Genomic DNA, 14,953 nt, shown 5'->3' on the forward strand with positions numbered 1-14,953 from the left:
GTGATTGCCTTGTTTGTATTGACTGTAAATGTCTAGTCAAATATTTTAGGTTCATATTAACTGCTGCACAGAATTACTTACTTCAGCTAAAAAAAATTATTTCCGGCTGGGCGTGGTGGCTCATGCCTATAATCCCAGCACTTTGGGAGGCCGAGGCAGGCGGATCACTTGAGGTCAGGAGTTTGAGACCAGCCTGGCCAACATGGTCAAACTCCGTCTCTACTAAAAATACAAAAATTAGCCGGACGAGGTGGCGAGCGCCTGTAATCCCAGCTACTGGGGAGGCTGAGGCAGGAGAATTGCTTGAACCCGGGAGGCGGAGGTTGCAGTGAGCTGAGATCTTGCCACTGCACTCTAGCCTGGGTGACAGAGCAAGACTCTGTCTCAGAAAAAAAAAAAAAGTATTTCCAAGATGTGTGTATGAGTTATTGTGTATGTAGATGATGTCTGATGCAGGCATCATTTTAATGCAAAAGGTCCCACCCTACTTATATTAGCAGTATACACATAATCTGCTATAAAAATGAAAATGTTTAATACTGATGACAAGCAATCCATATTTCTGCATTTATTAGGGATTTGTACACATTTTACTTAATTTTACATATCAATTTTTGTTTGTCATGTGGCATAATACTTCCATTAAGGCACTAAAAATTCTATTTAAATTATTGTCCATTGGCATATTCCTATCATTTTGCAAATACATTTTAAAATATAATGAATAAGTCCACTCAGTTTTTTTCCTTTATGTTCCATTATAATTTTTTCATATTCTCAGCACAAATAGATACCACCTGAATGGTTAAGGTTAAATTAATCAATGTAGAGCTATTACTAAAGAATACATAAATTACAGAAAATTAACATGTATTAATTGATATTTTGGAGATTAATTATTCTACTCCATAACTTTCTACTCTAATATGTATTAGAATAACAATAAATTGACCAGATGGGTTTAATAGCACCCTTCAGAACTAAAATTTGCTTCTATACCAAGTATAAAATAAAGATTTCAGTGATTTCATGATCCCACTCAAAATCTTCCCCTCAGGCCAGGTTCACCAGAAGGTAAAGATATGCCAGAGAGGCTACATTTCTGCTTTAAACAAACAAGTTAAATCCAGAAGGCCATTGTGGCCTTAATAAATAGCTGGGCCAACACTTCAAATAAAATATGATAGCATATTCAGAATATTATTTATTTATGAAGTTTGGAATAACTTATTTTCATTTTTGAAAAACTAATATGCCTCCCAATAAAAACTCTAAACAGGATGTATGCAAACAAGGTGTAAATTTGAATTTTTAACTCCCTTAAAATACCTGATAATTGCAGCTTTTTGTCTTCTTTCCTGATATGGTAATAATACTCATAGTCAAATGCCTTCCTTGGCTGGACTGATAGGTAGAGAGGGATAGCAGAACAAAAACTGTCTTTTGTACCCCCACTAGGTGTGGCAAAATGAAATGTGTGGCAAAATATGCATATCTTTACATTAGTTGGGCTGTCCACCTGATTAAAGCTTTTCTAAACATAGATAATAGCTTCGGAGGAAATTACGTATTTAATTTAGTAGTGCTTGCTATTTGAACTCCAATTATAGAGTGACAACTAATATCTCATCATTTAGCATCTCTCTGGATTTTAATACTAGACAGCATTCCAAGTAATTCTTAAAATAGATTCAGGCTTGATTATAATTGACAATCAGATCTTTGGGTCTCAAATCCCTAATATATTGTATGTCATTCTGAAGACAGACGTTTTTTCTGATACTTGATTTTATTATTTGATTTTCCTATTTTTATTCCCAAATTCTTCACTTTTCCCTAGCCCCATTTGTTGCCTAGTTGTTCGTATTTTTCTTATTTCTTGAAAGAAGATGCCAGTGAGAATCTGGTTTGCATTTTTCTAAGGAATTGGCCTCTAATGCGGCATAAGTAGCATGAGTAAGTGGAAGTGACATAAGAATAAGAAGACATGTCTCCATGTCCCAAATCTGTCAAAGTATATGACATTGGACAAATTAGTTAATAACTATGCATCTCAATTTCCTAATATGTGAAAGGAGGAGTTTGGACTACATGACTTTAAAAACCTCTACCAACTAAAAACATCATATGAGTCATGAAAAATGAATGATTTATTCATTTTTTCATTAAAAAAATTGTGGTTAAAAAGATACAAAATTTACCATCTTATCCATTTTTAAATGTACAGTTCAGTAGTAAATACATTCAAATTATTATGCAATACATCTCTAGAACTTTTTCATCTTGTAGATCTTAATTCTATACCCATTAAACAACAACTCCCCTTTTCCCACTTCCCTCAGCATTCCCTACCATTTATTTTTTTCCTACAATTTTGACTACTTCATATACCTCATATAAGTAGAGTCATACAAGATTTGTCTTCTTGTGACTTTTATTTCACTTAGCATCTTGTCATCAACATTCATCTATACTGTAGCATGTGACAAGATTTCCTTCATCTATTAGGCTGGATGATATTTGTTGGAATGTATATACCACATTTTCTTTATCTACTCATCTATTGATAAACATTTGGCTTGCTTCCACAACTTGACTGTTATAAACAGTACTGCTAAGAACATGGATTTGTAAATCTCTTTGAGACTACCTTTTCATTTCTTTTGGGAATATACCCAGAAGTGGGAATACTGCATCATATGGTAGTTCTACTTTGAATTTTCTGAAGAACCCTCATACTGTTTCTATACCAGTGGAACCATTTTACAGTCTCAACAGCGCACAACTGTTCCAATTTCTCCACATGCGCAGCAATACTTGTTATTTTCCATTTTTCTGGTAATAGACAACCTAATGGATATGAAATGATATCTCACTGTGGCTTTCATTTTCGTTTCTCTAATGATTAGTGATGTTGAGCATCTTTTCACATGCTTGTTGTGCATTTGTATATCATCTTTGGAGAAATGGCTGTTCAAGTCCTTTACCTGCTTTTTAATTGGGTTATTTGAGTTTTTGATGTTGTAGGAGTTCCTTATATATTCTGGATATTAACCTTTTATTGATATATGATTTGCAAATATTTTCTCCCATTGCATAGGTTGTCATTTCACCCTGTTGATTGTGTCTTTTGATGCACAAAAGTTCTTAACTTTAATATAGTCTCATTTGCATATTTTTTGTTCTTATTGTTTGTACTTTTGATGTCCGTTCCAAGAAATTATTACTAATTCCAGTATCATGAAGCTTTCCCCTATGTTTTCTTTAGGAGTTTTATTGTTTTAGATCTTTAATCCATTTTCAATTAATTTTTGTATATGGTATATGATAAGGGTCAAACTCCATTCTTTCGCATGTGGATATTCAGTTTTCCTAATACCATTTGTTGAAAAGATTGTCTTTTCCCCGGTGAGTGGTCTTGGCACCCTGGTTGAAGATCATTTAATCATATAACCAAAGGTTTATTTCTAGGCTTTTTATTCTATTCCTGTAGTCTGTCTTTATGCCAGTATGATGCCATTTTTTTTTTTTTGGTAGGAAAAACAAAATTCCCAGTCCTCTTGACATGACAGTGGGATCTAGCAATCTACTTAGGTAGGTGTACAGAGAGAAGCTAGGATGTGCCAAGAAATGGAGGTATCCTAGACTGCCCCTACACAATTGGCACCAAGTCCTCACTTTTTTTTTTCTTTCTCTCATGCCTTTTGCAATGTTATCTCTTATTCCACCAGCATCTGTCCCCAGGCAGTTGGTTGATGCTGGAGCTAATTCCCATTGGTATGCAGATTTTCTAAGCACACAGCAGGCATCTCTCTTCTGGTGCCCCAGACATTACAGAATATCAAACTTCACATTGGAAGGTGCAGAAAAGGAAGGTGACCATGTCCTCGACAAGGCATGTACTTGATAAGTAGGTCATACTTTCTTTTTCTATATATATAGAGCTGTATGTAAACAGCATTGGGGTGTCTGTTTCTGCAGCTGGATTTCCAAAGGGTTTCCCCAGTCCTGTGCTCCAGGCCCTGTCTTTACTCTCTACTTCCTTCTCAAAGTGCCAACCGCAGCCTTTCAAGCCCTGGGTTTCCCCTCTGGAAAAAGGGAACCAGCATTCTCCAAGGACACAGGGTTTTTACCAACCTGTTTATCACTCTGGCCTGCTGTCTGCGTAGGCCCCACAAAGAAGTCCCATATTCCTGCAAGCTCTGGCTGCCAAGCAACCAGGCCGCCAGCGCCACCAGCTGTGGGGCCGCGTACAGCCAAGGCCAGTAGGTACGGTGCTCTCTGGGCGTGGGGCTGCCACGTGATGCACTGGTGCAGCTCCTTTCGGGGCTGTGGTGAGCTGCGCTGTGGCCGAGCGCAGCCCCAGGCGACCCGCGAGGCAGGCATACAAGGCCAGGGAGCTGTGGCCGCGGTGCAGGGGGCACGGGAGCATGACAGCTGGCCTCGCTCCCTCCCTGTGCTCCGGCAGCCCCTCGCCTCCTCTCTGGCCTCTGCGCCCACTGCGGCTTGCCGCCGGGGGCCTCCCCTGGACACCAAGTTTCTTCTTTTGTTGTGTGTTTGTTGTGCTGATGGCACTCACTATTTTGATTACTATAGTTTGTACTATGTTTTGAAGTCAAAAAGTGTGAGTCCTCCAACTTGGTTCTTTTTTTTCCTCAAAATTATTTTGTCTATTTGGGGTCCTTTGAGATTGCATATGAAATTTAGAATGAATTTTCTTATTTCCGCAAAAAACGTCATTGGATTTTGATAGGGATTTCATTGAATCTATATATTTCTTAGGGTATTATGGATGTCTTAACCATATTAAGTCGTATAATCCATGAACATGAGATATCTGTTTGTTACCGGTGGAGGGTGTCCAGGTTCTTGGTGTCTTGAACAAAGAATTGGACAAAATGCACAAAGCAAGGAAAGAATGAAATAACAAAAGCAGAGATTTATTGAAAATGAAAGTACACTCTACAGCGTGGGAGCAGCTGAAGCATAGGGGCTCAAGAGCCCCATAACAGATTTTTGGGGAAATACCCTCCAGAGGTTTCCATTGGTTGCTTGGCATGTGCCCTATGTAAATGAAGAGGATGAAGTAAAGTTACAAAGTAATTTACTTGGTATACTCCCTGTATAAATGGGGAGGATATTTCCTGTCGTAGCTGAAGTGTTTCCATTTGATTTAGCTCTAGGAAGTCAGCGTGAATTAGCCTTATGTTCCCTGCCTCCAGACCCTATTCTCCTGCTTCATTTCCCACCTGAGAGATGTGATCCCATAAATCTTTATGGGTGGCGGAGGGACCAATGGTCCTTGTTCTGTAACTGCTTCATACTGGCTTGGGGCATAGTCCCTACCTATTGGGGATAATAGAACTCTCGCACTGCTCTGTCTAGTGGAGGCAGGGTAGTTCCTTGATGGCCAGGGGTAGTGTCTTCACCTGGAACTGGCTGGAACCCTCGTTGCATGATCATCTGAAGCTTGATGGTCTCTAGGCAACAGGAAATGAATTTGGTTAAAAGATTTAATGGGAACTTCAGGAAGTGGATACCTCTGCTGTCAGGAATGTTTATTATAGAGATTTGCAGGAGAAAAAACAAAACCTGGTCTGTTCTAGGATCTATGTGTTTGCTTAAAGTCTTACACAAGCAACTCCATTTTGGTTTGGTTTGTTCTGTTGGGGCCTAGTGCATGAGCTCAGTCCAAAACAATGGCCTTCCTTAATTTTGTTTAAAAATATTTCCCCTTTTTGCTTAGGTTCTCACTTAGGTGAGAGTGTGACCAAAACTTAGGGCCTTAGTGCCACCCTCAGTTACCATCATTTTGCGTTTCCACTCTCAGCACATTACGCATAGGTTATGGTGTCCTCATAGTAGCACATTTTTTTCAGCTCTTGTCATTCCAGTTGAAGAGAGACCATTTGACATTGCAGAGATGTCTCCATGCAAGCATTTAAAACCTTTGAGAGAATACAGTGCACCAGGGAGACTATTATTATGACTATTGGGAGAATCATACCAAGAGTTTGGAGTATGCTTCTTACCCGGGGTCCCCATAAACCAAACCTCCTAAAATCAAATAGATCAAAGAATGAGCTAAAGAGTCTCCTCACTTAACTAAGCAGTCTCTTCATTAATCCGCTGCAACTGAATCTCTATAATACCCAATGTTTTCTCCATAGGCCATGAGTATCAGCAGCTGCACAGCTACTTCTTTGTTCAACCAATTCTATCATAACTTTCACAAGAGAATTTAAAGTTTATTGTGTAACTGTAGCCTGTACAGTAGAATTTGCTATAAGCCTATCATAAGGGATACATTTTTAATCATTGCTTCTTTTACTCCAAACCATGGAAAAAGTACCTAACGAATGATGCCCTTCTAGAAGGGTGAAGACCTCCTAGCAATGTTCTTTTTAACCTGTGATGTGGGTTAACAGGAGTGAACCAATGTTCTGTTTCTGACTGATTATGAGGCAGTGTTTGTACCATTAAAACTTCTTGGCAGGGCACGGTGGCTCACGCATGTAATCCCAGCACTTTGGGAGGCCGAGGCAGGTGGATCACCTGAGGTCAGGAGATCGAGACCATCCTGGCTAATACGGTGAAACCCTGTCTCTACTAAAAATACAAAAAATTAGCTGGGCTTGGTGGCAGGCATCTGTAGTCCCAGCTACTCGGGAAGCTGAGGCAGGAGAATGGCATGAACCCAGGAGGCAGAGCTTGCAGTGAGCTGAGATTGCGCCACTACACTCCAGCCTGGGGGACAGAGCGAGACTCTGTCTCAAAAAAAAATAAAATAAAAAAACTTCTTACCTACATTGGGAACATAATAAACATAATTATGATTGATAGCATATACTCAGACATATTAGAATTTTATAAATCCCATATAATTTTGGAACATATGTTAATATTATTCACTAAAATATAACCTGAAGATGATTAAACATTATTTTTTTAATTTTGACAATGCTTCCCATGTAACTAAACATGTCAAAGAATAAAAGACAATTGTAAAGCTTAAATTTGATTTTGGGAAGCCTATTAAATATTGTAAAGGTTTAAAAAATTTACACTCCCATGTCTTCTTATAATTTTCTACCAAAAACACATTTCACTTTTCTACACACCTTGCATGTAAAACTGTTTCTTCAGTAGTTTCAATTACATGTTATAATGTTAACTCTTAGTGGCTTTTACTTTTGGTGAAAACCTTGGTAAGTTCAGGATTTTAATTGTGTATTAGATGTGGAGCCTAGGACCCAGATAGGGTGCAGATAAGGTCTGACTCTGCAGCATCTAACTTCAAGTGTCTCAGGCATTACCTAGCTGTAAAGCAGGCAAGTTATACAGTTAAGAGTCATAGTGGCATTTTATGAAGCATTTAGGAGGCCTAATCACCTTTAAATTGTATAACACTTCTTGCATAAATTCTCCTTCATAAATTCTTTCACAACTTAACACAGTCCATCTATGACATGATTGGACTTCTGACTTGTCCTAAACATCCCTCTTTTAAACAACCAGTTATTTTACTTTAGGACAAGAATTTACCATACAAGTTCCTTTCTTATATATAATCTCTTTTCTTTATAACCTTCTTTGCATAGCTATGGGGCGTGGCTAATTTCACATGTCCCTAGGCCTTATCTAGAATCTAATGCTCCAAAATAAATTGAACAATTTTTAAACGTCAAAGAAGCAGTTTATGACCTTAAAGCATTTAGCATACCTAATATTCGACCTGCATAATTTAGACCAAATGTTTACATTTTTGAAGATATTTTTATTTTACCAATAATCTTTAAAACTGTCTTTATTTCCCAAAGATTACTTAAGTCACATAAATTAAAAGGCATTGCACTTTTTACTTTTCTGACAAAATATTGGATTTAAGCTCTTATTATTATTAAACCAGTTAAAGTTCTTTTATATTATACACACAACGCATATAAATACACAGAAGATAAAGGACTCATTCTCTAATCCAGGAATCGGACCCTAAACCCAGGCAGCCATTTTGAAAAGAGAAAGCATGGCCACATGGTTACAAAGTCAAGCTCCCAAGAACATGACTGACCAGCTTGCTGGGCCATGTTGAACAACAGCCCTATGGGGGGTCCTAGGCACACATTTTATCTTAAGGTACCCCTCTTTATGACAGAACAATACAGAAAGACACACAAAGCACACCAGATTCACAACAGCATAAGACCAACATCAGAGTTCTTTTTTATATTAATTAAAACTTTACAGAGGAAATAAACAGTGACTTTTACCTTTCATTTAACCGGTTTGCAGAGAGGCCAGAGTCTGACTGCTAAGAAATTCTTACCCTTTTGCTGGCATGTCAGATTTCTGTGTTCTCTCTCCCTGAGCAATCCTAGCAACTCTGCTTGACTTTATGCAAACAAACACATTGCCATGAATTAAGAATATTCACAAATAGTTTACAAATTTTGGACAAATTAGGCAGAAAGCAAGAAATATGACTCAAATTCTATTTACAAAAGTATACTCAACACACTTAAAGTATCAGGAAGCGTAAACTCCAAAAAGTTAGTTTAAGGTGAAAAAGCTGATGTGCTCCATTAATTCCTGTAGCCAAACAAAGGTAGCCTAGGAATTCCCGGGAAATGTAACAAATGATGACTTGCTAGAAACACATAGGAAACAAAGTAACTGTTCACAGAACCAAATAAAAGCCTTCCACTAGAAACTAAAAAAAAAAAAAAAAAAAAAAAGTGGTTTTACGTATGCATACACAAGCAAAGCCAGAGAAGAATAAACAGCAAATGAATGAAAACTAGAAGCAAAAACAAACAGGAAATCAACCCTAAACCTTTTCTATTCAGTCTTCCCTGGAGTCTACAGTGTTACCCAGGGCCCCCTAAAAACCACATAATGAATATTTTATCCCTGATACACATTTTAATATCCTTAAATTCACCACTGTCACCATACATCCTATGCAATAAAGAAATTCACTCTAGGCACATGACCAATAATTACTCCAGTGCCAGTACTATAAGCACAAAACAGTAAACATAGTGTGAAGCAATGCAACCATGTATGTGAAATTTGGCTCCATGCTACATTCAGGCTTAACTATATTAAAAAAAAAAAAAAAAGAATTGCCTAACTGCTGATGCATTTCTTTACAATACTTCTTATTTTACTTTAATCAGGCCTAAGAGCTTTAACTATGAAAATGTTAATTAGCCAAATGTCTCCAGTTCTCTATCAGGTTTTAAAGAATATTTTATTATCTAAACTTTGTCCACAATCTTCTCTCCTACTTACTGGTTCCTTAACACATTGTTTAACCAACTTTCGGATAATTAGACAAAATTATTCTTTTTCTCACTAATAACATAACCCTTTCTGGCACATTTTGTGTACAGAATTATGTGTTAATTAGAATTCTTATCCTTAGTAACCTAAAACTTTAGTGAAACCCTAAAAAGCAAGAAATCCTGAACCATAAGATATGGGCATTTATAGATAAGAACAATTCCACAATTTTGGAAACATATTTCCCCATATCACAACCCTTTCTTAATTGGAAATGACCCAGATAGTAATTGAGCATCAAAAATAATTTACACAAAAAGTTACCTAAAACATTTACTCCATTAACTGTACTCAGTTCTTTCACTTTTAACAAAGCAGACATGAGACATCAATCAACATATGTAAAATGAACATTGGTTCAGTCTGGAAAGGCGGGACAAAGTGAGCAGGGGTCTTCCAGGTCACAGGTAGGTGAGAAACAAACGGTTGCATTCTTTTTCAGATTCTGATGAGCCTTTCGGAAGAAGGCAAACAGATATGCATTTATCTCAGTGAGCAGAAGGATAACTTTGAATAGAATGGAAGATAGGTTTGCCCTAAGCAGGTATCAGCTTGAATTTTCCCTTCAGCTTAGTGATTTTTGTGGCCCAAGATATTTTCCTTTCACAAATTACTCTCATTAAAAAAAAAAAGGCACGCAAACCAAGATCATTTTGTTTTGGCTAGGTTTATAGTTTTATAACCTTCTATGCCAAACACTTGATATATCCAATAGTTTGGAACCTTAGCCATGAGATAGCAATACAAGCTTGCCAATTTTACTTTGTTTGCCCCAATAGATAATCCGATGAAGGCTGTGAACCAGTTTCAGATAAAGCAGTTTCCATGGCAGTGTGATTTTTAAAGGCCAAACCTCCCGACTCCAAAGAACACTAGGGCCAAACAGCACCAAAGGAGAGCATCACACATTAACCAGGCCCCCTGCTTAGAACAGCAGCACAAAAGCCTGGATACATGCAATACCATCCCACTTTCCCATTCAACAGTAAAATCCAGGTTCCAAACAATATTGGGGCCAAACAGTATTGCAACTGCAAGAGAAAATTCTAAGGATGGTTTAATACTAGACCTCAGAACCTCTGCTAAGGGTATCCCATTTGGAGTTGTTGAGGTCTGGAGGATCCCCCAGGGTATCCCCCTTTGAGGTCCAATCTTAGATTGTCAGACGTCTCTGACCTTAGGTGGGCACCAGTGCCACTTGCATGTTTTCTTTCCAGAGGTGATGGCCTACTATGAGCTTTCCTTTTGTCCCTGGATGAAGGCCTCAACTTCTAGCAGCCTTTTAATTTATAAGGCCACCTTTTCCCATGCTTCCTGTTCTTCGTTAGAGTGATAGCTATGAACTTTAATGATAGGAAACTAAAGGCTAGGTGGATTTCTTTTGTCCTTAGCCAGTCAAGTAGAAGGGAAGAATTTAGCATAAGAAAAGAAGGTTTCAGTCACCTGAAAAGCGTGTGAGTTTGCTCCAAGCTGCGCCACATGTAGAGATCAGGGACCACAACCAGAAAAGATAGAAAAGAGTAAAGAAAGAGAGGGGGAAAAAAAGGAAAAAGACCCAGATCCTTTACCCAAACTGGGTGGTGGTGGTGGTTAGGCGCCTCCACATGGACGCCCCTTAGTTTCACCTGCCATGGCCGGAAACCTCCAGTTGCCTCCATGTTTAGCTGCTGCTCACCAAGGCTCCCACATTGGAAAGAAAAAGAGAAAGAGAGAGATTCCCCTGTATGAAGCAGAAAGGAAACGGAGAAAATTAAATTCCAAACTTCGGGCTTACCTCCTGGCTGGCTTACCAGTATGTTACCGGTGGAGGGTGTCCAGGTTCTTGGCGTCTTGAACAAAGAACTGGACAAAATGCACAAACAAAGCAAGGGAAGAATGAAACAAAAAAAGCAGCAATTTATTGAAAATGAAAATGCACTCCACAGTATGGGAGTGGTCCCGAGCATAGGGACTGAAGAACCCTGTTTCAGAATTTTCTGGGTTTAATTACCCTCTAGAGGTTTCCATTGATTGCTTGGTATAAGCCCTATATGAATGAAGAGGATGAAGTAAAGTTAGAAAATAATTTACTTAGTGTACACCCTATGTAAATGGAGAGGATATTTCCTGTCATTTGATTTAGTTCCATTTGATATTTCCATTTGATTTAGTTCTCGGAAGTAAGGGTGAATTAGCCTTATATTCCCTGCCTCCAGACCTTATTCTCCTGCCTCATATCCATTTATTTGTGCCTTCTTTAATTTCTTTCAGTGATGTTTTCAGTGTAAAAGTCTTTAGCCTCCTTGGTTAGGTTTATTCCCAAATATTTTGTTCTTTCTGATACTATTGTAAAAGGAATTTTTTTCTTAATTTCCTTTTTGGATTGTTAATTGTTAGTTTGTAGAAATCAAACGCTTTTTGTGTGTTGATTTTGTGTTCTGCAACTTTGCTGACTTTGTTTATTAGTTCTAATAGTTTTTTAGTGGAATCTTTAAGGTTCTCTACATATAAGGTCATGTGATCTGCAAACAGATAATTTTACTTCTTCCTTTCCAATTTGGATGCATTTTATTTCTTGCTCTTACCTAATTGCTCTGGCTAGCATGTCCAACACTATGTTGAATAGAAGTAGTAAAAGCAGGCATTCATGTCTTGTCTAGAGCAATCAGTCAAGAGAAAAATATAAAGGACATCCAAATTGGAAAAGAAGAAGTAAAATTATCCTTGCTTGCAGATTATATGATCTTACATTTGGAAAAAACTCAAAGACTCCACAAGAAAACTATTAGAACTGACTTTAAAAATTTAGTATGGTCACAGGATACAAAATCAACATACAAAAATTAGTAGCATTTCTATAAGTCAATAGTGAACAATGTGGAGAAAGTAATTTAAAAAAGTAATCCCATTTATAATAGACACATAAAATGAAATGCCTAGGAATTAACTTAACCAATGAAGTAAAAGATATCTACAATGCAAACTATAAAACACTGATAAAGGAAATTGAAGAGGACACCAGAAAATGGAAAAATATTCCATGTTCATGCATTGACTCAGCTATTGTTACAGGCACATATTCCTAAGTTAAGGTTTCAATCTTGTCTACTTATTTAGGTTCATCCGCAAGAACCTAAATACAGAAGTATGGAGTCCGTCTCAGGCCATATTTACTTTGCTTTAACAGTGGGAATGTAAATAAGTACAACCACTGTGGAGAACAGCTTGGAGGTTCCTCAAAAAAGTCAAAATAGAACTGCCGTATGATTCAGCAATCCTACTACTGGTTATGTATCCAAAGGAAATTAAATCAGTATGTCGGAGAGATACCTGCTTTCCCATGTTTGTTGCAGCTGTGTTTACAATTGGCAAGATTTGGAAGCAACCTAAGTGTCCATCAACAGATAAATGGATTAAAATATGGTACTTGTACACAATGGACCACTGTTCAGCCATAAAAAAGAATAAGATCCAGTCATTTGCAACAATATGGATGGAACTGGAGGACATTATGTTAGGTGAAATAAGCCAGGCATAGAAAGACAAGCATTGCGTGTTCTCACTTATTTGTGGGATCTAAAAATCAAAACTATTGAACTCATGGACAAAGAGAGTAGAAGGATGGTTACCAGAGGCTGTGAAGGGTAGTGGGGTGCTTGGGGAGAAGTGGGGATGGCTAATGGGTACAAAAAAAATGGAATAAATAAGACCTACTATTTCATAGCACAATAGGATGACTATAGTCAAGAATAACTTAATTGTACACTTTAAAATAACTTAAAAAGTGTAATTGGATTGTTTGCAACTCAAAGGATGAATGCATGAGGGAATCAATACCCCATTCTCCATGATGTGCTTATTTCACACTGAATGCCTGTATCAAAACATCTCGTGTACCCCATAAATATGTACAGATACTATTTACCCCCCAAATTTGAAAAGAAATTGTTTAAAATAACAGTAAAGAGTATATTAAGTTATTGGGATAATACAGTTTTCTATCTCACTTAGCTATTATGAATACAGTCAAAGTCACAGGCCTAGTATATATAAAGATTTTCAGGGCACTATTCGTAGATTTTATCTCCAACTATGATATCTTTTCTAGATTCTGATAAGCAGTGTTTTGATCCAGGCCCCATCGAGATCTTAAGAGAGTTTGCCTCTGGGTCACCACTAGCTATCAGTCCTTCAGGAAGTCTTTTGACTCTTCTGAATCCCAGTTTCCTTATCTCTTAAGTGAAGAGGTTGGCCAGCTTGATCTCTAGGGGTTCACTGGCTTTGACATTCTTGCATCTGGTAATAGTGGCAAAAAATCTGAAATTGAATGTCAGACTGAGGATCAAGCAAAGAGAATATTGTCACTGAAAATGTTGAGTCAATTTTAAATATAGACAATAAACACCTTGTGCTGAGTAAGGATGGCTTTTGGATGATTTGTTTCAACTTTTCCCATTTGGATAACACCAGGAAATGAGTGTAATTCCTACAAAAATCATAGAAAGGTAATTGCAGGCAGACATCTGTATAACTATATTTAATTATTCTAAATGGACAATATGAAACAAAAAAATGTATTTTTCAGCAGGGAGCCTCTAGAATCTGACTGAACAATCCATAACAACGTCTGTAAATAATCCTAATGCAGAACCAGAAAATTCTTAAGTAAAATTACCTGGCTTGTTTTTCTGTTTTATTTTGTTTTTGTTTTTGTTTTTGTTTTTAAGACGGAGTCTTGCTCTGTCGCCCAGGCTGCAGTGCAGTGGCGTGATCTCGGCTCACTGCAACCTCTGCCTCCCGGGTTCAAGGAATTCTCCTGCCTCAGCCTCCCAAGTAGCTGGGACTACAGGTGCATGCCACCACGCCTGGCGTATTTTTTGTAGAGACGGAATTTCACCCAGTTATCTAGGATAGTCTCGATGTCCTGACCTCATGATCCGCCCATCTTGGCCTCCCAAAGTGCTGGGATTACAGGAGTGAGCCACCGTGCCCAGCCATCTGGCTTGGTTTTATTTTTATTTGAGATTTCCATGCATCAATTTTCTCTGGTGATTATAAATGTCTTGATGTTGTACCCTTTCTGCTTAAAGCATGCAGGCAATGTCATGTTGAAGACTTCAATGCTGTGAAGATTTTTCCTCATTTTCAATCTTAAAATTTAAAACTCTTCTGCTCTTTAGAAATACAATCATACTAGACATGCTAAATAAATTTCAGTATTCCAAATGCTGTTGGCTCCAATAGTGGAGGACTTTGCCTAGTGATGATGTAAGGGAAGAAAGAATACTTTTTCCTCTACCTTTTCTGAGTTAGTTGAGACAGACCCCTGTAACAAAAGACAGATTAACAAGAGAAAAATAATTAGAAGTTTATTTGCATATACAGGCATACCACAGGGATGTTGCAGGCTTAGTTCCAGACTACCACAATAAAGTGAATATCCCAATAAAGTGAATATAGCAATAAAGCTGTCACACAAATTTTTTGGTTTTCCAGTGCATGTACAAGTGAAAGAGGAGAAAAGAAAAAACCAGGTCAGGCAGGCAGTTAGGGTGGGTCCTGAGTTTAATCCTTTTGACCAAAAGAACAGCTGGCACACACTGATAAGGGAACTTGCACAAGGGGGCTT

General features: G+C 37.8%; 1 annotated feature.

Annotated features, from left to right (window-relative positions):
- Positions 10,414-10,991: an enhancer, noted in NCBI's record as "OCT4-NANOG hESC enhancer chrX:114552544-114553121 (GRCh37/hg19 assembly coordinates)". NCBI's record gives its function as "activates a minimal SCP1, AML or CMV promoter by ChIP-STARR-seq in primed H9 embryonic stem cells {active_cell/tissue: H9 hESC(primed)}" and the evidence as "EXISTENCE:reporter gene assay evidence [ECO:0000049][PMID:30033119]".

Source organism: Homo sapiens, chromosome X, assembly GCF_000001405.40.
Source record: "Homo sapiens chromosome X, GRCh38.p14 Primary Assembly".
NCBI classification, from domain to species: Eukaryota; Metazoa; Chordata; class Mammalia; order Primates; family Hominidae; genus Homo; species Homo sapiens.